The sequence below is a fragment of the Homo sapiens genome, chromosome 22 (genome assembly GCF_000001405.40).
Source record: "Homo sapiens chromosome 22, GRCh38.p14 Primary Assembly".
Taxonomy (NCBI): domain Eukaryota; kingdom Metazoa; phylum Chordata; class Mammalia; order Primates; family Hominidae; genus Homo; species Homo sapiens.
This window is the reverse complement of record NC_000022.11, coordinates 39,877,302-39,900,306: the sequence shown is the minus strand read 5'-3', so window position 1 is coordinate 39,900,306 and position 23,005 is coordinate 39,877,302. Positions and strand designations below refer to the sequence as shown.

Sequence of the window (23,005 nt, the reverse complement as noted above, 5' to 3'; positions counted from 1 at the left end):
CTCACTGGGATGTTCCTAGCATTAATCCCTGGAATACCAAGAGGAGAGTGTCAAGGAGAGATTCAATTTGGGGTTCTAAAATTTAAACTTTTTCTGCAATGTGAAACGGCATCCTTTTCCATCTCTTTGCTTCTTTATATCTAAACCTTGCTTAAAATTTACTTTCTTAAAACCTTTTCCTTGGTTATAATTGCCCAACATTTTTATTGAAATAGAAAAGAAGAATCAGCAAAGTGTCAAGGTGACAGAAAATGCTCAGTAAATATTTGTCGAATGAGTTAAAGGAAGTAATTTTCTATCCATAACTCCTTTTTTTTTTTGAGACGGAGTTTCACTCTTCTTGCCCAGGCTGGAGTGCAATGGCATGATCTTGGCTCACTGCAACCTCCGTCTCCCGAGTACAAGTGATTCTCTTGCTTCAGCCTCCCAAGTAGCTGGGATTACAGGTACCTGCCACCATGCCTGGCTAATTTTTTTTGTATTTTTAGTAGAGATGGGGTTTCACCATGTCGGCCAGGCTGGTCTTGAACTCCTGAACTCAGATGATCCGCCCGCCTCAACCTCCCAAAGTGCTGGGATTACAGGCATGAGCCACCGCACCCGGCCCTGTAGCTCCTTAATAACAGGCTTTCTTTTTATTAATGCAACTTTGTCAAATTTTCTTAAATCCTGGTTATATCTGAAAAGGATCTCTGCTATTTCCACATTATAAAGATAAAATTTAAAAATAACAACATCTTGCTACTTTAAAAATAATAACGTCTCAACCTTGACCTCAGAATTATTCAGCCTTCTAAGGACCTTCTTGGATCATTACACTGAACAGCTCTATTGCCAAGTTTTTAAATGCTGAAATCCTCTGGCTACAGTCCTTATTCTTTGATAGCTCCCAAGTCGATGGTTTTGAAATGGTTAAAGGAGTCCCTAAAATTCTATGGTTGGGGAGTGGGAGCGAAGGGAAAATGTTGAATGGTGTTACATGGAAAGTATCATGGTGTTTTCAGCTTGTACCCTAATGAGGAAGCTAATTTTGCACCAGGCACTACTCCCCAGGGAGCAGAATATAATCCTTCCCCTTACAAGCATGGGACAGATTGCAGAACAGAAAAATCTCAAAGGCAAGTTATTTTGGTAGTAAGTACTGATTGACAGACATGTTATGTAGAGCATAGTGGGAGGGAAGCAAGGCCACTTGAGTGGTTTATTTCATAACAGCTCTGTAACTGAACGAGTGCAAAGGCAGATCCTAAGAATAAAGACCCTAATGTGAGAATGCCAGCATTTCAGTACTCACTATCATGAGATACTCAGAAAAATAGCAGCAAGATGAGGAGGATACAGTAACATGTGAAATATGGACTTAGCCACAGTGGAGAAGTTTCTTTTTTAAACCATACTTTGTTTAAAATTTTTTTAATCAATTCCTTTTGAGGGGTCATTTGTTTATATCTGAACTTCTGTTTTGTTTTGTTTTTTGTTTTATTTTGTTTTTTGGAGACTGAGTCTCGCTCGGTTGCCCAGGCTAGAGTACAGTGACGCAATCTTGGCTCACTGCAACCTCCACCTCCTAAGTTCAAATGATTCTCCTGCCTCAGCCTCCCGAGTAGCTGGGATTGCAGGCACCTGCCACCACACCCAGCTAATTTGTATATTTTTAGGACAGCTGAGGTTTCGCCATGTTGGTCAGGCTGGTCTCGAACTCCTGACCTCAGGTGATCTGCCCACCTTGGCCCCCCAAAGTGCTGGGATTACAGGCATGAGCCACTGCGCCTGGCCAATATCTGAACTTCTTGCCATAATTATGCTCAATTTAACTTTATGGTAAAATATGTACTTCTTATTTAATAGTGTGCATTCAGACATTCTCGTTTCATTTATTCAATAAATAAAGTTTGAACACCTACTCTGTGTTAGTCCTGTTCTAGGTGCTGGAAAACTATCAGTGAACAAAACATAATCTCTGCCCTCCTGGATCTTACATTCTGGTAAAGGGAGAAACAGAAGGTACATCAGATGGTCCTACTGTTAGGGAGAAAAATAAAATGATGCAAGAGCCACAGGGAGTGTGGCTGAGATGGGGGTTGCGATTTTACGTTGGGAAATCAAAGGACATTTGAGCAAAGTCTAGAACAAAGTGAAGAAGCCAGTACTTCCTGGATGGACATCTGGGGAAATAGCTTTTGCAGGTATAGGGACTAGCAAGTGCAAAGACTTCAGGTGGAGACATGTTTAACACTGTGAGTGAGGTGGAGAGGAGTTGGGATGGAGATCAGAGAGAGAGCAGAACATGTAGGGCCTTGTTGCCATGGCGAGGCCTTTGGATTTTACTCTGAGTGAGATGGAAGCCAATGGAAGATTTTGAACTGGGGAGTAGTATGATCTGACTTGGGTTTTAAGTTTTAAAAGGGTAGCTCTGGCTGTTGTGCTGAAATTAGATAGCAAGGGAGCAAGAACAGAAGAAGAGAGACCAGTTAGGAGCCTACTGTTGGCCAGGCATGGTTGGCTCATGCCTGTAATCCCAGCACTTTGGGAGACTGAGGCGGATGGATCACCTGAGGTCGGGAGTTTGAGACCATCCTGATCAACATGGAGAAACCCAATTTCTACTAAAAATACAAAATTAGCCAGGCATGGTGGCGCATGCCTGTAATCCCAGCTACTAGGGAGGCTGAGGCAGAAGAATCGCTTGAACCCGGGAGGCGGAGGTTGCAGTGAGCCGAGATTGCGCCATTGCACTCCAGCCTGGGCAATAAGAGCAAAACTCCATCTCAAAAAAAAAAAAAAAAAAAAAGAGGCTACTTTCATAGTCCAGACCAGAGATGGTTGTGGCTTAAAACAGGATGATGTGAGTGGTGGGAAGTGGTTGGATTTTGAATATACAGGGTGATCATAAAGTCTAGAAACATAGATAATGTTATTGTATCTTGTATTAGAATGTAGCATCAATAAATCATTTATTATCTAGACTGGGTAGCCACCTTGTATTTCAAAGGTAAGCTCATGGATATCATGAGAGCTATAAGAGACAAACACAGGAGTTAAGGTGACTCCCAGGTTCATGGCCTGAGAACCTAGAAGCAAGGATGTGTCATTTACTGAGACAGGAGAGACCGTGGGAGAGAAGGTTTGGAAGGCAAGACCAGGAGTAGAGGTCAAGGTAGTTAGATACACGAGTTTGGAGGTCAGGAGAAGCTGAAGAGAAAACCTTGAGAGTTGTCAGAATCGAAGAGTATTTACCGCTTTGCAAGTGGATAACACTACCTGTGGAGTGAATATAGATAGAGAAGACAAGAGGTTAGAGAATGGGCTCCTTCAAAGTTGAGAGGTCATAGAATTGAGAACGGATGAGTCAAGGAGATGAGAAGGAGAAATGGTGTCCGGGAAGTCAGGTGAAGCAAACTGTGTTCACTTTTATAGAACCTCAAGTTCAAAAAATTAAAGGAGAAAACCAACCAAGCTACCATAGAGCAATATTTGTATTTAGTGGATGTTACGGTATTGCAACTAAATTGTGCCCCCAAATGGAGGAAAGCAGATAAGAAGGACCCCTTACATATTGTCACTTGAACAGGGTTAATTCCACTAAGCTGGTAACACTTGACACTTTTGCCAAGCCTAACCAACTCCCTCACTGTTTATTGGGACTTCAGTCTTTAATCTTACCCTGTCTCCTACTTCCCATCTGCCTCCTCAATCACCTTCTATATGCTGACTACTCTGAAGTCTATGAACCTAGCCCCAAACCCTCTTCTTTCAGTTATCTCTATTCAACTGTCCCCTGAACATCTCCCACCTGTTGCTCAGATTCAAAATGTCCGAAGCAGAATTCCCCAGCTTTCCTGCCAAACTGACCCCTCGGATCATGTTCATCTTGGTGAACAGCAACAGTCATTTACTTGGTCACCCCAAAAAGAAACTTAGTCCCTGTAGACTCCTCCTTCTCTCTCATTGCCACATATATTCAGAGCCCGATCCCATAACTGCTACACTTTAACATTACATGTAAAAGTATATGTGTGAGGAGAGTGAACAGAGTGGAGATTCACACTATGCCCATGACCTCTGCCTTAGTTATGGCCTTCATCACTTATTGCCTGAACTATCAGAACATTCTGTTCTTCTTCCAGTTCCTCTGCTTCCAATCTACTCTTTGAGCACACACAGAGATTTTAAAAGGAGAAAATGAATGAATTTAAAAATAAAAAATTGGAATCTCTGACCTTCTCCAAACATAACAAGTCCACTTGTGACTGAGTTGCTGATAGAGCTTAAAATCAAGGACCAAAGATTGGTCCTTGGAGTAGGGGAAAGAGCTAGACACAGGAGATTTGGGTTCAAGTTTCAGGTAAACTGCTTCCTAGTTAAATATCTCTGGGCAATTACTGTAATCTATTTGTTTCTCCAAACTCAGTTTAAGCTCACCTCCTCCAGGAAGCCTTCCCTGACTATGCAAATATAGACAAGTCCCCCTTTCACTCCCGTAACATTGTTTGCCTTTATTATAGCAACTACTTACAATTGCTGATTTATTCCTGTTTCCTCTATTAGAGTATTAAACTACAACTTCCTTCTAGTCTCATAGCTCAGCATAGTGCTTGGCAAATAGCAGGTGCTCAATAATGTAGAATGTATGCATATTCCACAAACTCAGCTTTCTCACCTGTACAATGGGATAATAACGCCTACTTCTCAGCATTCCTTTGAGATTTACATAAGCTATACATATAAAAAAACTTCATAAACTATACCTCAATGTATAAAATACTTGTAGTTTGTCCCCCACTATTTTATAAAGTCAAAATACCTCAACATAGCATTCAAGGCCCTGAACAATGTTTTCCAGGTCACCTTTTCGATTTCCCTCTGGCTCCCACCCCATTACTCTATATTATAGCCAGTCAAATAATATTCCAAACTCACCAACTTCTTTCATACCTCCTATCATTTTATATTGGATTCACCTATCTACATGTCAGTATCAATAATGTGGGCTATTATTATTATAATTATGACTGAAGTAGTAGGAGATAGAAACAAATGTTGCTTTTGTCTACTAAGTGTTTTGTTATCCTCTGTCTTTTCCCCTCATCCTAGTCAATATTCCATTAAAACACAGGTTCGATTACATTTTTCAATGCCTACTGGATAAAATCACCTTGTAGTATGGATAAGGTTCTTCATGATCCAACTTCCCTCTGTTATTTAACCTTCCTCTGCTGCTCCACTAATAGCCTTTGTGACAGTTGTAGTAACTACAGTACATGTAGTTTTTCCAAGATAATAGGCTGGCTCAGCTTTCATGCCTTTACACATGATGTGTCCTTTGCCTCTTACGTCCTCCTCTACTTTGTCTATCCAGTGAACTCCCTGTCATCCTTTAAGATTCAATTCAGATGTAAACTCTTCTGTGAAACCTGCCCTTAAATACTCAGTGGCAGAATTAGATGATCTCTTCTCTCTTACTATGCCATACATATCTTGTTACAATCTTCTCTGACGGTGCCTGTCACCTCCACTAGCCTGTAAACGTATCCAGCAGAGGGCTGCTTTTTATCTCCGAGTCCTTACTGTCTGGCACAAAGTGGGTGCTCACGGAAAATCAGTTGAATACATCAACAATTACCCGTCAGTGGCACCTGAAGCCATCAGTCACTGGAGCTACCCCATCATTGTCCATCACACACACTGCTCTTCATAGACTACTATTACATTCTCAGTCCTTTGAGGTGGCAATCACGTGCTGGTGGTATTTCTAGTCAGTTGAAATGACAGTAGTAACACACTTTTAAAAATGTATTCATGTGCCATGCTGGTGCGCTGCACCCACTAACTCGTCATCTAGCATTAGGTATATCTCCCAATGCTATCCCTCCCCCCTCCCCCCACCCCACAACAGTCCCCAGAGTGTGATGTTCCCCTTCCTGTGTCCATGTGTTCTCATTGTTCAATTCCCACCTATGAGTGAGAATATGCGGTGTTTGGTTTTTTGTTCTTGCGATAGTTTACTGAGAATGATGATTTCCAATTTCATCCATGTCCTTAAAACTTAAATAATAATAAATAAAAAAAAAGAGATATTATGCTAGAAGTCTGAGTATTTTACTGATTTTCCATTTTAAGAATAAATTATCATGGCAAATTTTAAGTTACATACATTATTTTATTGTCTACTTTTTAAAAACATTATCAGCTTACCTTGGCATTTTTTTTCTTTTTTTAATGTCCGTTTTTACGTTGTGAACATTTAGTAAATTAATTTATACTCATTTTTATTTAATTAAGAAAGCAGCTAAGAATAAATGCTAGTGTCTGATTAAACTATTTCCCAGATCTCAAAAAAAAAAAAAAATTTATTCTTTGAAAGGAGGATTAGGGCAGTGTCACAGCCCGGCAGCCTGTGAAACGAAGACACTTACCTTCATTCCCCTTGGTACCCTCCAGCTCAGGTATCTGCAACCATCTTGCTTGACGCCCTGACAGGAACTGCACCAGGCCAGAAAGTGAGGAAGCGGAAGTGGGGACCGGCCTGGGCCCTTGAGCCTGGCTGGAGTAGGTGGAATATCCTGGGGAGAGGAAGTTTGGTCGTTGGGCAGCGGCCGACTTTCCTCTCAGGTAACAGCCTCTGCTTGGGAGTGGTGGTGGGGCTCAAGGCGGGTCTGGAAACATCGGTTGCCTTCCCTCCTCCCGTTTCTTGCCGGCACCGTCGGAGTCCAGGTGGGGGCGGGAGGGCGGCGAGGCCATTACCATCCGCAGGAGGTGAAATCCCTGTGGCGTGACGTGACGCCATCACGTCCCTCTCTCCTTCTAGAGGCTTTCCTGAGGTCCAGCCTTCCCCTCCACTGCCGGTTCTCCTAGGGTAATTGCTGGTCTGATTCTCTGTGTGGCCGAACGCCCAGCACCTGGCTCATCTGGTACACAGTCGTCATCTGAAGTGGGGGTTGTATGAATGAAGACGAGGATGCCGAGGAAAGGCCCTGCCCACAGAAAGTTGATTCTTGCTCAGCCTCCACCCGCCATTTTCAAAATTCTTTCCAAAGCATCTCGTTTCTTCCTCCCCCACGGCCCTGTCTGGCGATTATTCTTTGTGTTGCGGATGAGGGAACTGAGACTTAGAGAAGTTGTTAAGTCTTAGTTAGGAAATGGCAAAGCAGGACCTCAAATCATGGCTTTGAATCCTAATTAAAGGAGAGAGATGAGGCATGTGAAGGCCCAGGTGTGAGCACATTGTGAGCGTTCAATGAAGAGTAGCTGTTTACTCCAGGGTGTGAGGACTGTGTCTTGTGCACCTGTTTCTCCATTTCCTAGAATGGAGCCTGCCACATGGTAAGCTCTGGAAGATTATTAGTTGAATAAATTAATGAACACACACTTAGGGCTGGAAAAGATTAGATTCTCTGCCTCTGACAGTATTCTTTTCATCAAAACAGTAACACCTCCTAATGGCATGGTAGTCTCTATAACCATTTTCCCGTAGCATTCTTGGCCAGAGCTCATTTCCTTACGAGTCAAACTCATGTCTATAGGCAGAACCTGTACAAACACAAGAGCTGTTCTTTTCTCATAGTTCCACCTTAAATGCATCTTTTCAGAGATAGCTCTGGACACTCAGCCTCTTAGATGCTATTGTCATTATTGTCCCAAGTCTTTGGATAAAGTCAGTTCAGCTCCTCTGTTCCTTATTCTCAATCCTGAAATCCAAAAACTTTTGGAAATCAACTTTTCCTCCAACTCATTTGGTGGTAAAACTTGGCCTGAGGCCATTTGTAGTCTTTATTCCAAATATTTACATGTTTTTATTGCAGACATGTTAATGTGTTTAATTGTTCAGAGCAGCTCCACACCTTACTGTGGGTATCATGTAATATATGGTATAGACATGGCACTACTCTTGAAAATTCCACCCCTACCACCGCACCCAAAAGAGAATTTCCACAAATCATCTGGCCTCAAAGGATTGGGATAAAAGATCGTGGACCAATAGTTTAATGCCAGCTGATAAATCATTTCCTGTTAGAATTCAGATGAAATGGGGGGAAGGAAACAGCATTGTGAAAGTGGGCAGATCTAAAAATAACACTAAAAGACCTTTTCTACGTAATCATTTGTTTTGCTGGGAATTATTTAGGAGAGAAAGCTCCTTAACTGAATGGTAAGTTTTAATGTGAGGTTCATGTTTTATATTTCTCCACAAAGCTATACAAATGGTAGGTACTCAAGAAATATCTGTTGATGATTTGAAAATATTTGCTCAAAACTATAGAATTTTACTTGACAATTATGAGAGCTAGATTTTATTTATTTATTTTTTTAATATCATGCTTTATAGGAGTTTGTGACCATCTGGGCAACCAATAAGAACTCGTGTCTAAAAAAAAAATTTTTTTTGAGGCCAAGCACGGTGGCTCACACCTGTAATCCCAGCACTCTGGGAGGCCGAGGCAGGCGGATCACTTGAGGTCAGGAGTTCAAGACCACCCTGGTCAATATGGTGAAACCCCGTCTCTACTAAAAATACAAAAAATTAGCTGGGCTTGGTGGCTCATGGCTGCAGTCCCAGCTACTTGGGAGGCTGAGGCAGGAGAATTGCTTGAACCTGGGAGGTGGAGGTTGCAATGAGCCAAGATCGTGCCACTTCACTCCAGCCTGGGTGACAGAGCAAGACCCTATCTCAAAAAAAAAAATAAAATTTTTTTTTTAATTAGTTAGGCTTGGTGGTATGCACCTGTAGTCCCAGCTACTTGGGAGGCTGAGGCAGGGGGATTGCTTGAGCCCAGGAGTTTGCAAGCAGCCTGGGCTACATAGTGAGGCTTTATCTCAAAAAAAAAAAAAAAGTGATTATAATTATAAAGCTATAGAATCAGTGCAGGTTTATCCCAAGGCAGAATCATTCAATCATTGTGTTATTTGCACAACACATGTTTCTTGAGTATCTACTGTTGCTAATTAGCTGTTAGGGATAGGATTACAGTGGTAAATAAGACCGTCAAGGTCCCTGCCCCCAAGGAGCTTCCAGTTTGGTGGTGAAGAAAGGCACTGAGCAAATGACAAATAGGTAAGTACAGATTGTTACAAGTGCAATGAAGGAAATTAACCAGGTTCTGGGGAGACCTAAGTAGTTAGTGAGGTCGGTGAAGACCTCTCAGATTTGTGACATGAAATACCTAACTTCTTCCCTCTATTTCTAAATATTATAGTGAGTTGGGTAGCCAGACAACCAAGATTCAAATGTGGAAATTTACCCTCTTGGGCACTAATTTTGTCTCATGTCAATTTTTGTCACATCACTGTAGTTACAATCTCACAGTTATTTGATGCTGTATGTAAACAGCATTTTCATGTAGTCAGGTGTCTAAAACACATAATAAACCAACATATAATTTACAACTAACACCAATTAATTGAGCTCCTTGTCAATTTGAAAAGACAGCAGTAGTAGAATGGTGTTTTACATATTCTACGTTCATATCACAAGGTAAAGTTCAAGTCATTGTACATTAGTAAGTGATAAGAATTCACTTCTCTAGACCTTTTTCCTTGCGATTTTTCTAATGGTTGGGGTTGTATTTAATTCTGATATGGTGTCATGTAAATTCATTTTAAACTACTCTATTGGATTAGAAGGCTATTATTTTGATATTTTTCTGGGTTAGAAAATTCATTTAAGAAAACAGTTTTTAAAAGTTTAAAATATAGGTTAGAGAATGTAGAAAAACCTAAAAATTACGATTGTTCTTCCAAAATATAGATAGATAGCTATCCAAAAAAGAAAAAAAAATTAACATTTGTTGTTCAATTCCAGCAAGTTATGATTCTAACAGGGCTTTAAAAGAAAATAGAATCGTGAAGAAACAGATCGATATTTGTTGCTCTAAGCCAATGTCATAGTGCATCTCTGCATTGAGTGAGTTTGGTAGAAGGAAAAAAAGGACAATAGAAAAAAAAACCCTCCTGCTTGACAATTTTAATAGCTTTGCTGAAATATTATAAATCAGTTTTTCACTGCAGGAAGGTGCCAAATAAAAATGACTGTGTTTGAAGTACGAAAAAGAGAAAATCAGAAAGTTGTAGAAACACAACTTCTCTTTTTCTTCCTAGGGTTAATGATAGTGTCTTTCTGAGAAATCTTAATTAAACAGATATTTAATACATTTTCTTTTTTATTTATTTATTTATTTATTTATTTATTTATTTATTTATTTATTTATTTTTGAGACAGAGTCTCACTCTATCTCCCAGGCTATAGCGCAGTGGCCTAATCTCGGCTCAGTGCAACCTCTGCCTCCCAGGTTCCAGTGATTCTTATGCCTCAGTCTCCCAAGTAGCTGGGATTACAGGTGTGTGCCACCAAGCCTGGCTAATTTTTTGTGTTTTTAGTAGAGATAGGGTTTCACCATGTTGTCCAGGCTGGTGTTGAACTCCTGAGCTCAGGTGATCTGCCCGCGGCAGCCTCCCAAAGTGCTAGGATTACAGGTGTGAGCCACCACGCCCAACCACTTATACAGGTACATTTTCTGTCTTGCTTAGTTAAGAGTGTGTTGTATTTTTACCAAAAAGAGGTTATCTCATTTTTTTAAAAAAAAGAAGTGATAGTTTATTTGGGATGCTTCTAAAAATTTATGTCTTCCTTTAATACACATACAGAAATTAATCAAGGCTGAGCTAGTTACCTGAGAAGGTCAAGAAAGGGAAGCAAAACTAAAAGCAGTGAACACATTTGTTATGGATTTTAACATTTTTTCTTTTGTATGTGTGCAGTTTCTCTAGTAAAATCTGATTATAGATCTTCTAGGTTTCGTTGGGTCTGGATGTTCGTCAGGGCTTGAAATCAATTTGGTACACTGTCTTGGCAGCCAGCAGTGGTGAATCACTAGAGAAATTGCAAACTGACTGACCCTCCTTAATACAAAATAATGAAAAAGAGAAAGGGAATGGTTTCCTATAAACTGAATTGATCATTCACAAGCATTATGTAAAGTTTGGGGGCTGCATTTCCCTTTTAAGTTTTAGTATATGGGCCTCTCTGTGTGTCCTTGTTTTGAGATCTGATAGACACAGGCTGATCACTGCAGGATTTAGAGAAATCCTTGCATTATTTGAGTCTTACTGTTGACACTGTTTAATCCTAAACTCATTCTTCTTTTTCCAAAGGTGAACAAATAAAGTAATTTAACCTTTCCCTCTAATTTACCAGGCTTATCTGGACTAAAATAGAGGTTTTAGGGTACCATGAATTAGCTGTGGAGTCCACTGATATACAGCTGTTTGTCTTCATAGTTGATCCTCCTTTCTTTTAGGTTTAGCAAGAAAGCAGACTATATTTAGATCTGATTCTCGGGACTTGTAGTTCTAAAAAGAATACAGTCATAGGGTCAGTGGGTGATTCTAAGACTCAATTTTACCCCCATTTTAATTACTCTCAGAATATAATATTTTTATATGTGACAATATAAAGAGATGCCTGAAATCCTAGCACTTCAGAAGGCTGAAGTGGGAGGATCACTTGAGGCCAGGAATTTTTGAACAGCCTGTGCAACATATTGAGACCCCCATCTCTACACAATATTTAAAAATTAGCCAGGCAGGCCGGAAGCGGTGGCTCACGGCTATAATCCCAGCACTTTGGGAGGCTGAGGTGGAAGGATCACAAGGTCAGGAGTTTGAGACCAGCCTCGCCAACATGGTGAAACCCCGTCTCTACTAAAAATACAAAAATTAGCCAGGTGTGGTGGCGTGCATCTGTAATCCCAGCTACTCAGGAGGCTGAGGCAGGATAATCGCTTGAACCCGGGTGGCAGAGGTTGCAGTGAGCCAAGATCGCACCACTGCACTCCAGCCTGGGCAACAGAGGGAGACTCTATCTCCAAAAAAAAAAATAGCCAGGCATGGTGGCGCACACCTATAGTTCCAGCTGCTTGGGAGGCGGAGGCAGGAGAATTGCATGAACCTAGGAGTTCAAGGCTGCAGTGAGCTATGATTGCACCACTGTACTTCAGCCTGGGAAGCAGGGCAATACCCTGTCTTTGGAAAAAAAAAAAAAAAAAAAAAAGAAAGAAAGAAAGAAAGAGATGTCAGAGTGCAAGTTCTGTTTTTTAAAATGTTGCTTGTCTGCTGTCCATGTAATGCTTTATAGCCATTATATTTCTGGCCAAAGAGGTTGAATGATATTTTCTCCAGGAACTTTTATGACTAGAAAGACAACCTATATTTCTTTAAATAATATAGGCCAATTTCTCATGAGGGATTTTCCCATGCCTATCCTAGGAACAGTTATATGGTACCCTCAATTCTGGCTGCTGTAAGTGAGGGGCTGATTTAGAAACAAAACCTAGATTTTCAGATTGATTTGGTCTTCTATAGACTTAAAAAAAAGTTTAATGTAAATTTTTTTGTGCTTTCCTTGCAGGAAATTGATACTTTATCAACATAGAGATTAATTATTTGTATTTGGGAGCAGCAGAACTGGGGACCAATTACCTGTCAAGAGTTTTATAAACCCGTGACATAAACTGTTATTCCATTGCTTTCATCCTCCATCTCACCTTGGAACTTGTATTACTTATGGCGTTCAGGAGACAAGTGAAAAACTTTGTGAAAAATTACTCAGATGCTGAAATAAAAGTCAGGGAAGCAACTTCTAACGACCCTTGGGGTCCCTCTAGTTCTCTGATGTTAGATATCAGTGACTTGACTTTCAACACAATTTCTCTCTCAGAGATTATGAATATGCTGTGGCACAGACTCAATGACCATGGGAAGAACTGGCGCCACGTGTATAAATCCCTTACCCTAATGGATTATCTCATCAAGAATGGATCAAAGAAAGTTATTCAGCATTGCAGAGAGGGGTTCTGTAACCTTCAAACACTAAAAGATTTTCAGCACATAGATGAAGCTGGAAAAGACCAAGGTAATGGTTAAAGAAGTTTATATAAGCTGGGTGTGGTGGTGTACACCGGTAATCCTGGTGCATGGGAGGCTGAGGTGGGAGGACTGCATGAGCCCAGGCATTTGATGCTGTAGTGAGGAAAGATTGCACCTGTGAATAGCCACTGTACTCCGGCCTGGGCAACATAGAGAGACCCCGATCTCTAAAGTTTTTTTAAAAAGTTTATAGCATGTGCCAATAAAGATTAGGAGTTTTGGGGGATCATTTTATACCAGGAGGTGGGGAAGAGTTGTACTTAAATGTACTAGCTGTCTTTCCTCTGGGACGGTTATAGTTTCCAATTTAATCCTCTGTATTGAGTCTTCAGTGCCTTAGAGAACAATACTTTTTTCAAAAGGAAAAAAAAAGTGAACACACTTAGGTTTCTGATAAAATGATACCTCATAGAAAATGAAAAAAGTGAATAAAATAGGAGGCATGGCAATTTGGTGTAATAATGTCACTGTAATTTATAATTATAATTAAACTGGAATTTAGTCATAAATTAAGGAAATATTTCCACAGGCTGGAATCTTCAAAGACTATCTAGATGGAAGCAGTTATATGAATACAAAAATTTAGATCATAAAATAATTCTTTCGGGGGCGGAAGAGGAGGTGCAGTAGGGAAAGGATAGGATCCTGAGATGATTCAGTAGTGCCTGATATTCTACAGTGACAAAAGGCTCAGTGCTTCCTCTCTAGCTACTGTAGAATTATAATTTGTGTTCAAAATGAATAGTCTTATGAATCATGAGAAGAGGATAAAATTCAGAGCATTCTCTCTGGGAAGCATGCATTTTAAAAATAGACCTTTTTTTAAGGGCAGTTTTAGGTTTACAGGAAAATTATGCAGAAAGTTACGCAGAGTTCCCACATACCCTTCCCCACTCAGACACAATTTCTCTTAATAACATCTTGCATTAGTGTGGTCCATTTGTTACAGTTTATCAACAAATGCTGATACATTATTGTTAATGAAAGTTCATATCTTACATTAGGAGTCACTCTTTGTGTTCTACAGTTCTGTGGGTTTTGAAAAATGCATGGTGTCATGTGTCCACCATTCCACTATCATACAGAGTAGATATGTCCTGTGTTCCACCTATTCATCCTTTTCCTCTCCTCTTGAATCCCTGGCTACCACTGGTCTTTTTATCATCTCTATAGTTTTGTCTTTTCAGATGTCGTATAGTTGGAATCTTAAAGTATGTAGCTTTTTCAGACTGGTTTCTTTCACTTGGCAATATGTACTTAAGATTCCTCCATGTTCTTTCATAGCTTGAGAGTTTATTTTTTTCTTCCCTTTTTTTAAAAAAAAAAACTTTATTGAGATATAATTCACATACCACACAATTCACCCATTTAAGGTGTACAGTTATATGGATTTTGGTGTATTACAGTATAATTTTTTAGAATTGTAACTATAACATAAAATTTGCCTTTGTAAGTGTGCAATTCAGTTGCATTAATTACATTCACAGTGTTGTGCGGCCATCACCACTATTTGTAAAATTCTTTCATCACCCCAAACAGAAACCCCGTAAGCATTAAGCAATAGCTCCCCATTCCCGTTCCACCAAGGCCCTATCTGTCTCTAAATTTTCCTGTTCTAGGTATCTCTTATAAGTGGAATCATACAGTATTTGTTATTTTGTGTCGCTTATTTCACTTACCATAATGTCCTCAGCGTTGTCATGTTGTAGGATGTATCAGAACTTTATTCCTTTTATGTCTGAATAATATTCTATTGTATGTACATTACACATTTTAAAAAATTTACTCATCTGTTGATGGACTCTTGGGTTGTTTCTTTTAGCTATTGCACTGAACATGGGAGTGTAAGTATCAAGTTCTGGCTTTCGGTTTATTTGGGTGTATACTTAGGAGTGGAATTGTTGGATCATATGATAAGTCAGTGTTTAGCTTTTTGAGGAGCTGCTAAGTTTTTCCATAGTGGCTGTACCATTTTACATCTCCACTGGCAGTTTAAAAATGTCCCAGTTTTTCTGTATTCCTGCCAACACTTGTTATTATCCTTTTTTGTTGTTGTTGATTATAGCTATCCTACTGGTTGTGAATTGGTATCTCATTGTGGTTTTGATTTACATTTCCCTAAAGACTAATGATGCTGAACATCTTTTCATGTCGTTGTTGGCAATTTGTATGTCTTCTTTGGTGTAACATCTATTCCAATCCTTTGCCCATTATTAACTTTTTAAAACAACTGTTTGAGTATTAAAAGTTCTTTATATATTCTGGATACAAGACCCTTATCAGAAAGGTGATATGCAAGTATCTTCTCCGATTCTGTAGATTCCTTTAATTTTGTTGGAGGTGTCTTTTGATGCACTAAATTTTTAAATTTTGAAGTGCAATGTATCTATTTTTCCCCTTGGTTACTTGTGCTTTAGGTGTCATATATAAGAAACTATGGGCTCCATTGTCCAATACAAGAACATGAAGATTTATACCTATCTTTTCTAAGACATTTATAGTTTTAGCTTGTAGATTCAGATCCTGGGTCCTTTTTGAATTAATTTGTGTATGTGCTGTGAAGTTTAACTTCATTCTTTTTCATGAAGATGCCCTGCTACCATTTATCGAAAAGACCATTTTTTCCCTGTTGAGTTATATTGGCATCCTTGCAAAAATCAATCAACCAAATAAGATGTATGGGCTTATTTCTGTACTCCCAGTTGTTTCATTGATCTGTATGTCAGGCCTTATGCTAGTACTGTACTGTTTTGATTACAGTAGCTTTGTAGTAAGTTTTAAAATTAAGGAGTGTGAGTCTCCAACATTGTTCTTTCATAAGCTTTTTTTTTTTTCTATTCTGAGTCTCTTGCATTTTCATTTGAAGTTTAGTACCAGCTTACGAATTTTGTTAAAAAGATGGCTAGGGCCAGGCGCGGTGACTCACGCCTATAATCCCAGCCCTTTGGGAGGTGGAGGCAGGCAGATCACTTGAGGCCAGGAGGTCAAGACCAGCCTGGCCAACATGGTGAAACCCCATCTTTACTAAAAATGCCAAAAATTAGCCAGGTATGGTGGCGTGCACTTGTAATCCCAGCTACCCGGGAGGCTGAGGCACGAGAATTGCTTGAACCTAGGAGGTGAAGGTTGCAGTGAGCCAAGATCACACCACTGCACTCCAGCCTGGGCAACAGAGTGAGACTCTGTCTCAGAAAAAAAAAAGAAGATGGCTAGAATTTGGCTAGAATTTTGATGGGCTTACATTGAATCTGTAGATCAATTTGGGGTATATTGTCATTTTAACAATACTAATTTCTCCAATCTTTGTACACAGGATGTCTTTCTTTTTATTTAGATCTTTTTTCCATTTCTTTCAACAGTGCTGTGTAGTTTTCAGGGTACAAGTCTTTCATGTCTTAAGTTTTTTTCATTTTAAAGATTATTTTCCAATTAATTTCAGAAGTTCTTGCATTTCTGAAAGTTATTTCTAAGCATTTTATTCTTTTTGAAGCTCTAGTAAATGGAATTGTCTTTTTTTTTTTTTTTTTTTTGTGGGACAGAGCCTTGCTCTGTCATCCAGGCTGGAGTGCAGTGGCATGATCTCAGCCACTGCAAGCTCCGCCTCCCAGGTTCACGCCATTCTCCTGCCTCAGCCTCCCGAGTAGCTGGGACTACAGGCTGGAATTGTCTTCTTAATTTCATTTTCAGATTGTTCATGGCTGGTGTATAGAAATAAACCTGATTAAATGATTTTTGTATATTGATCTATATACTAGATCCTGTCATATACAAATAGTTTCACTTCTTCCTCTCCAATCTAGATTCCTTGGCTAGAAAGAAGTGTTGAGAGCAGACATCCTGTCTTGTTCCTGCTCTTTGGAGGAAAGCTTCCCGTCATCAAGTATGATGTTAGCTATGGGTTTTTTCATAGATGTCCTTTATCAGGGTGGGGAAGTTCTCTTCTATTCCTAGTTGTCGAGTGTTTTTATCATGAAAGAAGTTGTCTTTTTATGCATTTGTACCTTTTATATGTATAAGATAAGGTATACATGAATGTGTTTAAATTGACTATCATAAAGATCTTTCAGATTCCCTAACAATTGATCTTAGCACCAAAAAAGTAAGTACAAGTACACTATGCTAGACTTTATGAGTACTCTTGATGATTTATGACCACCAAGAGAGCAAGAAAAATACAAGTTAGAACTGAAATGTCAACAGAAGCATAGTGCATTCATTTGTTGATTATGGAAGGTACATTAGCAATTGATTGATAACATTGTACACATTATTCACTAATAAAAATTAATGAAAAAGATTCCATTAGGGGAAAATATTATCTTTTACATATTTCTCTTTGTGTATTTTCTTTTCTTTCTTTCTTTTTTTTTTTTTTTTTTTTTGAGATGAAGTCTTACTCTGTCACCCAGGCTGGAGTGCAGTGGCGCTATCTAGGCTCACTGCAACCTCTGCCCCACCAGGTTCAAGTGATTCTCCTGCCTCAGCCTCCCAAGTAGCTGGGACTACAGGCACCTGCCACCATGCCCTGCTAATTTTCGTATTTTTAGTAGAGACAGGGTTTCACCATCTTGGGCAGGCTGGTCTTGAACTCCTGACCTAGTGATTCACCCACCTCAGCCTCCCAAAGTGCTGGGATTACAGGTGTGAGCCACCGTGCCCAGCCCTCTTTGTGTATTTTCTAATGAATGTGATATACTAGAAGAGTAGCTCTTGGCATAATTTCACTCATACTTAAATAAATGTGCATTTATTGAGGATATATGCATGCACAACAATTTGTTACTGCTGAGGTGTACAGTCAAAATAGTTTGCAAACCACTGGCTCTCAGGATAAAGTCAGGCCCCTTAACATGTTTCCAATCTACTTTTCTGCTCTTATTTCCCTAATCTTCAATGTAGCACATTGCATTAACAATCATTCCTAATATATTGTATGCTTAGACATTTCTGTGCTTATGCTTAAGATTTGTCTTTCCCCTTGGAATATTTTTTTATCGCTGTCCATGTTTTGAACTCCTACTTAGTCTCCAAATCCTAGCTCAGAATCCTTTTTCCCTCTATCCCCAACTACTCTTTCCCTCAATGGGCAGAATTAATTGCTGTAGTACTTTATTCATAATATCAAAGCAGTGCTTTTTATGGTATATTTTATTGATTTTATATGTCTCATTTTAACTAGATTGTGAGGGCATGTACCATATGTTAATCATCCTTTCACCATCAGGCCTGCACAGAGTAGACAGTAAATTTTTATCAAATGGAAGTCATAGAAAAAAACAAGAAAGAAAAACTGCTAGATAAAAATGATTTTGTTGTCTCAGAGAAGAAAGAAGGCAGTGTCAAGTCTGTACTGAGAAATGAATGAAAGAGAAATTATTTGGTCCGAGTAATCTATATCTGGAGTCTGCCCTAGTTACAGGTTATCAAGAGAGATGAAGACAAAAGAAGATACTATAGAAAAAAAGGCTTTCTTGGCTCTCTTATTTGGTCTTTACACTTGCGTTGCCTTTGCCTGGAATGCTGTTTTCCAGAAACCTGCATGGCTCTTCCACCTCCTTTGGATCTCTTCTCAGAAAGTCTTATTAGAGGCCTTCTAGGTCTACCCTAGTTATAAAAAAGCAGCCTGGCCTCCTTGTTGTACTGATATGCCCTGGCCACCTTCTGTTTCGTTTTTCCCCATAGCGCTTCTCATCTGACATAGTGTATATTCTATTTTAGGATGTGTTTATTGTCTATCCCTACTAAAGTGTAAATTTCACGACAGCAGGGACATTTTGCCTTTTATATCCGCTTTGTCTATGCCCCATCTCCAGTATCCTCAGCAGTGCCTGTCACATGGCACATGCTCAGTAATTAATAATAGTTATACTAGTAGGAAAAACATTGGGAAAACAAATCAGAAAAATTGGGAAACATCGGAGAATAATAAGTTACTTTTTCAAATAATTTCTCAACGCATTTTTCCTTAATCTCTAGACAGCTTTTCAGGTGATATATCTCTGAATTTAAGCAGTGAGTCTAATTGTTAATCTGAAAAAATAAATTCATGATTTTCCCTGTGTTTCCAGACTTTGGTGATATTCTATATTGTACTTATTGTAGTTTTAAAAGAGTCACCAGTTGGATACATTGCTTTAAAGTTAGAGGTACTTCACAGGAAACAGTGTCTAGGCTATAGAAGGACATATTGAGCATATTGTTTGAAAATGTAACTAACGTAGCGTTTAAAAATAAATTTGTTCTATATTTGCTAACTTTTGGGCTCTTTTATTAGCAAGCATGTTTACTGCACTTTGTAACAAGTGGCATTCTCAACACTTGGCATGTATGAATTCATTTAATCTTCACAACAACCCTTTGAGATGGGAAATGTTGTTGGCTCCTTTTTGCTGATGGGGAAACCAAGGTGCACAGAGGTTGAATAACTCTCCACACAGCTAGTTAGCAGAGTCAAGATTGCAATCTAAGCATTTTGGCTCCAGAATACATGTTCTCAACAACTACAGTATATTGTTGAATGAAGGAATTAAGGATGTGATCCTCATCCTGATCATTCTGTTCACTCCTTTACTCCATCCTGTCAGCATGTGTCATGTTTCCAGCTTTGACCAAACATTTAACCAGTTACATATAGCAGGATGGAAGGGACTGAGACTGAACTAATACTGATCACTATCCTGGGACAAGAATTCAGAAATGTATCCTTTTTATTAAAAAGTTTTTTAAAAATAAACTTCGTTTTTTAGAGCAGTTTCAGATTCACAGCAAAACTGAGAGGAAAATACTGAGTGTTCCCAAATACCCTCTTCCCCTGTACATGCGTAGCCTCCCCCATTATAAACATCCCCAACCAAAGTGGTACATTTGTTACAATCGATGAACGTACAGTTATGTATCATTTTTACCCAAAGTCCATAGCTTACTTTAAGGTGCACTCTTGGTGTTGTACATTTTATAGGTTTGGACAAATGTACAATGACATGTATTCATCATTATAATATCACACAGAGTGGTTTCACTGCCCTAAAATTTTTCTGTGCTGTGCTTATTTTTTCCTCCCTCCTTCAGCCCCTGCAAGCATTGATCTTTTCACTGTCTCCATAATTTTTCCTTTTCCAAAATGTCATTTAGTTGGAATCATTTAACATGTACCCTTTTTAAGTAGGTTTCTGTCACTGGGCTGGAGTGCAGTGGCATTATCAGAAGTCACTGAAGCCTTGAACTCCTTGGCTTAAGCAATCCTCTCAGAGGAGAATCAGCTTCCAGAGTAGCTGGGACTGTAGGTGCACACCACCATGCCCAGCTCATTTTAAAATTTTTTGTGGAGACAGAGTCTCACTACATTGCCCAGGCTGGTCTTGAATTTGTGGCCTCAAGCAATCCTCCTGTCTTGGCTTCCCAAATTGTTGGAATTATAGGCATGAGCCATTGCGCCCAGCCTCATTTCCTTTTAGCACTTAATAGTAGCCCATTGTTGGGATGAATCACAGTAAATTTATCCATTCACCTACTGAACGTTACCTTGATTGCTTCCAAGTTTTGACAATTACAAATAAACAACTGTATGAAGTTTTTTATGTGGACAATAATTTTCAACTCCTTGGAGTAAATACCAAGGAGCATGATGTACTCAATTGTATGGCAAGAGTGTTTAGTTTTATAAGAAACTGCCAAACTGTCTTTTAAAGTGGCAGCCCCATTTTGCATTCCCACCAGCAATAATGAGAGTTCCTGATGCTCTGCATCTTTACCAGCATTTGGTGTTGTCAGTGTTCTGGATTTTGGTCATCCTAATAGGTATGTATGTAGCATCTCTTATTGTTATTTTAGTGTGCATGTCTCTGATGATGTATGATGTGGAGGATCTTTCATATGCTTACTTGCCATCTGTATATCTTTTTTTTTTTTTTTTTTTTTTTTTTTGAGACAGAGTCTCACTCTGTCACCCAGGCTGGAGTGCAGTGGTGCAATCTTGGCTCACCGCAAGCTCTGCCTCCTGGGTTCCCACCATTCTCCTGCCTCAGCCTCCCAAGTAGCTGGGACTACAGGTACCCACCACCACACCGAGCTAATTTTTTTTATTTTTTAGTAGAGATGGGGTTTCACCATGTTAGCCAGGATGGTCTCGATCTCCTGACCTCGTGATCCGCCCGCCTCAGCCTCCCAAAGTGCTGGGATTACAGGAGTGAGCCACCGTGCCCGGCCTGTATATCTTCTTTAATGAGGTGTCTGTTAAGGTTTTAGGCCCTTTCTTAAGTCAGGTTGTTTGTTTTTACTGTTGAGTTTTAAGAATTCTGTGTATATTTCAGATAACACTCCTTCGTCTCATTTTTTTTTGCAAATATTTTCTCCCAGTCTGTGGCTCATATTTTCATTTTCTTGACCGTGTCTTTTGCAGATCAGAAATTTTAATTTTAATGAATAACACTATATTGCCTCATGGGTAGTGCTAGTACCTTATAATAATAAAATAATTCTGATTTCTTCTTCCTGTCCCTTGTATCATTGCTGTTACTTATTTTGCTTATACATAAGCATATGTGTAAGCATGTATAATCAAATACATTGTTGCTATTATTTTATTAATAAATAATAAGAAAGTTTTTATTTTCACTTATTCCTTTTCTGATGCAGTTCATTTCTTTATGCAGATCTGAGTTTCTGAACTTTATCATTTTCTGTTTCTCTAAAGAATTTCTTTGAATATTTTTTGCAAGGTAGGTTACTGGCCACAAATTCCCTCAATTTTTGTTTGGCTAAAAAGTCTTTATTTCTCCTTCACTTTCTTAGTTTTGGTTTCTGAGAAGTTGAATGTAATTCTTATCTTTGTTCCTCTATACGTAAGGTGTTTTTTGCCTCTGGTTTCTTTCAGGAGTATTTTTTTTTTTTTGAAAAAAAAATTTCCATTTATCCTGCTTAATGTTCTCTGAGCTTCCTTGATGTGTGGTTAGTGTATAACACTAATTTGGGGAAATTATCAGTGACTGTTTCACATATTTCTCCTGTTACTGTGTCTCTCTTCTTTGTTAATTTCCATTACACATATGTTACACCTTTTATAGTTGTCCCATAGTTCTTGGATATTCTGTTCTTGTTATTGTTGTTGTCATTCGGTTTTTCTCTTTGCTTTTCAGTTTTAGTGGTTTCTATTGAGATGTCCTCCAGCTCAAAGATTCTTTCCTCAGCTGTGTCCAGTCTCCCAGAAAGCCTGCCAAAGGCATTCTTCATTTCTGTTACAATATTTTTGATCGCTAGCATTTCTTTTTGATTCCTTCTTAGAATTTCTGTCTCATGCTTACATCACCCATCTATGCTGCATGCTGTCCACATTATCTGTTAGAGCCCTTACATATTAATCATAGTTATTTTAAATTCCTAGTCTAATAATTCTAATATCTCGGCCCTATCTGCACCGGGTTTTGTTACTTGTTCTGTCTCCTCAAACTGTGATTTTTTCCTTTTAGTATGTCTTATGATTTTTTCTTGATAGCTGGGCATGAGATACAGTAAGAGGATCTCAGGTAAATAAGCCTTTAGTGATGTGGCAGTAAGTTAGGCTTACTGATCTTCCAGATCAGTTAGGCTCTGTTAAGACCCCATCAGGTTAGGCTTTGGTTAACTAGCTTCTCCTAAGGGCAGAACTTGTTAAGAACAGAGTGCTCTGGAAAATTCTGAATGGTTCCTTTTTTTCCTTCCCCTGCTAGAAGCACCAGGGGATTTTTCTCCAGTATTTACTGCGAGAACTTGGTCGAGATCCTTGAGGTAAAACAAAAGTGAGGGAGGCCCTGAAGACTTCCCCTGGAGTTTTTATCTCTCAGTTATAGTTCAGGCTTCCCGACCTCAGCACTTGTTTCCTTGGAGGTTTCTGCTCCAGCAAGCCATGATTCTCTGTACTGTATTTGCCTGTCAGTCTCAGTGTGGGGCTAAGTGGTTTGCCCTGTGACTACACCTCTCTGACGGATCCAAGAAGAGTTGATTTTTCTGTATGTTCAGCTTTTTACTTGTTAGGATGGAGTGGCGACTCCAACTTTTTACATTTTGGATCAGAAGTCAGGTTTATCCTTTTTTTTATCCGTTTCTAAGT

At 39.2% G+C, this 23,005-nt stretch overlaps 2 protein-coding genes across 8 annotated transcripts in view; one reads left to right on the top strand and one right to left on the bottom strand.

The window, feature by feature from the left end:
- GRAP2 (GRB2 related adaptor protein 2) overlaps positions 1-6,487 on the bottom strand; it is a 79,902-nt gene extending 73,415 nt beyond the window's left edge. The window contains exon 1 of the mRNA XM_047441607.1: positions 6,417-6,487. The gene's annotated coding sequence lies outside the window, so the exon portion shown is untranslated. The remainder of the gene's footprint in view (positions 1-6,416) is intronic.
- A 59-nt stretch (positions 6,488-6,546) lies between these two features.
- Positions 6,547-23,005, top strand: part of ENTHD1 (ENTH domain containing 1) — a 150,717-nt gene continuing 134,258 nt past the window's right edge. For 5 of the 7 annotated variants that reach the window (XM_011529928.3, XM_011529927.3, NM_152512.4 and 2 more), the window contains exons 1-2: positions 6,547-6,612; positions 12,404-12,907. In XM_011529928.3, the coding sequence (XP_011528230.1) occupies positions 12,559-12,907 (349 nt within the window). In that variant the 5' untranslated portion in view covers positions 6,547-6,612; positions 12,404-12,558. Of the gene's footprint in view, positions 7,324-12,403; positions 12,908-23,005 lie in introns of all 7 variants that reach the window. The other 2 variants (XM_006724150.4, XM_006724149.4) reach the window with 2 other exon arrangements.